At 32.1% G+C, this 2,928-nt stretch overlaps 1 pseudogene; it reads right to left on the reverse strand.

The window, feature by feature from the left end:
- Window positions 1-836: 836 nt before the first annotated feature.
- LOC124902096 (uncharacterized) lies at window positions 837-942 on the reverse strand (annotated as a pseudogene).
- Between the last annotated feature and the right edge of the window lie 1,986 nt (window positions 943-2,928).

Here is a 2,928-nt window from a genome sequence, read left to right on the forward strand (position 1 = left end):
ATAAGTGAGTCTGTATTTTTCCTTTTTCTATCTCCTTTATCTGTTTTTGTAATTTATAAAATCAATAGAAATCCAAAAAATATTTTGGACTTAACCAAAAACATAGGATCTTTATGATGAAAGTGAACATATAGAAAGACATTTCATGATCTTGGATGGATTACTTAGTATTACATAAATATACATTCTTAACAAATTATATATTACATACAAATAAATAAAAATGTATAAATAAAAATATTACAAAGACAGTAATAAAAGTAGTGTAGATTAGTGCAAGAACAGAACAGATCAATGCAAAAGATTAGAGAACAACAGAGACAGACCTCTGTATAAAGGTAATTTGTGGAGATATACAAACATACCCAAGAATGACTCCTAAGTCAATGGGAAATAGATGTATTGTAAAAAACAAAATAAGGCTGTCCAACTCTATGGAAAAATAATAAAACTTAATTCCTACTGAGTACGATGTGATCTCTATTTAAATTAAACCTCACTATGACAGGTAAAACAATAACCATTCATGAAAAAGTCTCCTCTCTAATAAAAATCTTAAATTTTCAAAGCATAACTCATAAGGCAAAGAAATTTATGAATTTAATTCCATTCAAATAAAACATTTCTTTCAAAAAGGGAAGAAGTTAATAGACAAATGGCAAAATGACAGAAGAGATTTGCAATCTTAGCGCCTACTAAGGTTTTAAGATTTCTTAGTCATTAAAATGTCTTATCTTTACAAAAAATTATTTAGTTTACGAAAGCTTTTAAAATGGAATTTTATTCTTTTACCATAAATGTATATTCTTTTAGCATTTAAAAATGATTATTGCAAGATAGGTTGTATGAATGTATAATACCAGTGGAGAAAATAAACATTGTGTTTTAAACTGATAAGAAGAGATACTACACTTGATCTTAGCCAAAAGGCTGAGATGTGATTAACATTGTGTTTTATAGAGAGTGGTTCAATAGCCATTCCCATTAGAACCTGGAGAATTGGTTAAAACATATTCCCAGTTCTACACCAGCCCTATTTAAATTCACTGTGATACTAGATAGTTTTCCCCCATGCTGTAGGAAGTGAGGTCTGTCCTTTCTTCTAGCTATGACTGTAGTAAGATTAGTTTCTTCCTAGGAGACTCTACAGGGATGTACAATTTCTTGCAAAGGTTGATCCTAAAATTTGTTCTCCAAAGATTTTTACCATTCTTTAGCTACTTGCAGTTATTTCCATAGTAGTTTAATTGTATTTTCTCTGTAGAGGAGGTACAGTTGATTTTATGGAACTGTGTTTTCTTTGGACAGGTTGAACATGAGTAGCTATATGTTTTAAAAATCCATAATCTGACAAAATTGCTGTTTTTCTCATAGTATGTCCTATCCTAAATGATATTGCTGGTGGAAGGATGAGCAGAAAAGTAGGTACAGTATGACAAGAAAAATAAAAACATTTGGGGGAATAAAGATGGCCATTTTCCCACAATGATGCTTTAGACCTTGGTGGTTCTGAGTGCCTACTGCTTAAGAATAGGTATCTCTTACCCATTTTCAAATTGGAAAATTTAAAGAATTTTAGGATTAAAGAGAACAGCATTTTGTATATTGTTATAATCCTGCTACCATCTTGGTAGCTACTTTGCTGATTACATGTTAGGGTGATCAATGTTGATTTTCAAGTGATTAGGGAAGATTAGGGGTATTCAAACTTTCTGTAAAGGGCCAGAAGATAAATAATTTAAATTTTGTGGGCCATATGCTCTCTGTCACAACCACTCAACTCTGCCATTGTAGTGTGAAAATAGCCATAGACAATACACAAACAATGGGCATGGCTTTGTTCCAATAAAACTTTATAAGAACAGACAGTAGATTTGGCCCAAAGCCATAGTTTCCACACCTCTGGTCCAGATATAAGCATGTTGGCTCATGTTTGGTTGTGGTATGTGTGTCAGGAGTGGTTGTCCTTCCATAAAGATCAAGAGTCTGGCAATGAGCTGAGGGACTTGTGTTGGTAACAGAAAAATAAATGTCTTGGGATAGAGATTTATCCACACAAATAAAGTCAGGGTTAATTGAATGAAAATGTGTTTACAGTGACAAATTAATGCCCTTACAGCATTAAAGAAAGATAAACTAGTGGATTTCTATTTCCATGGAGATTTTATGTAACACAATGGCCTTTTCACTGTGCCATTTTATGTAATTATCATTAGCACAGAGGCTATTAATTCAATATAATCAAGGAATGTAAAGGTCAGCTAACATTGTGCTATGTCCAGCACTAAATATTTCTCTCAATTTTTCCATATTTTATAATTGAGTTTTCTTGTCAGACTTTTCAATATTATTTTGAGATTTGGCTCTTCCTGCCAAAATGAAGTGAAATTATTAACAAGAAATTGTCAGCATTCATTCACATTAAAAATTCCATTTAATACATACTTTTTCTGTTACATTAAGCAGAAGAGGCTTTCATTTATCTCAAATGTACCCATACTTGCTGTGGGTGAATGCAAGGAACATCACTTATTGATCTCAGTCAGAATTAATGAGCAATAGTTACTTGTGAGCCCGTGTTCTTTTGTCATCTTTCTTCTTCTCTTGCCCAGTGACTCAAACCACCATTATAATGGGCTTCCTCTGTACATTTATCATGTCTTTACTGATTGGGCTGTATTTGAAAGTCAGACACTTTGAGCTTGTAACCCTGACTTTCACATGTCAGCCACATGTATAGTGTTGTGTTTTTAAAACATGGCACTCTATTACTCTCCAGTTTCTCCACAAGTGAAATAAACTTAGAAAATACATTTTTATATAATATATGACACTAAAAAAGTAAACTAATTAAAAAATTACTTAACAGGGAAAATAAAAATTGCTAAAAGCACTATCTTATTATTGAGCCCCATGCCTGAAAGAATT

This window comes from Homo sapiens, chromosome 8, assembly GCF_000001405.40.
Source record: "Homo sapiens chromosome 8, GRCh38.p14 Primary Assembly".
NCBI lineage: Eukaryota > Metazoa > Chordata > Mammalia > Primates > Hominidae > Homo > Homo sapiens.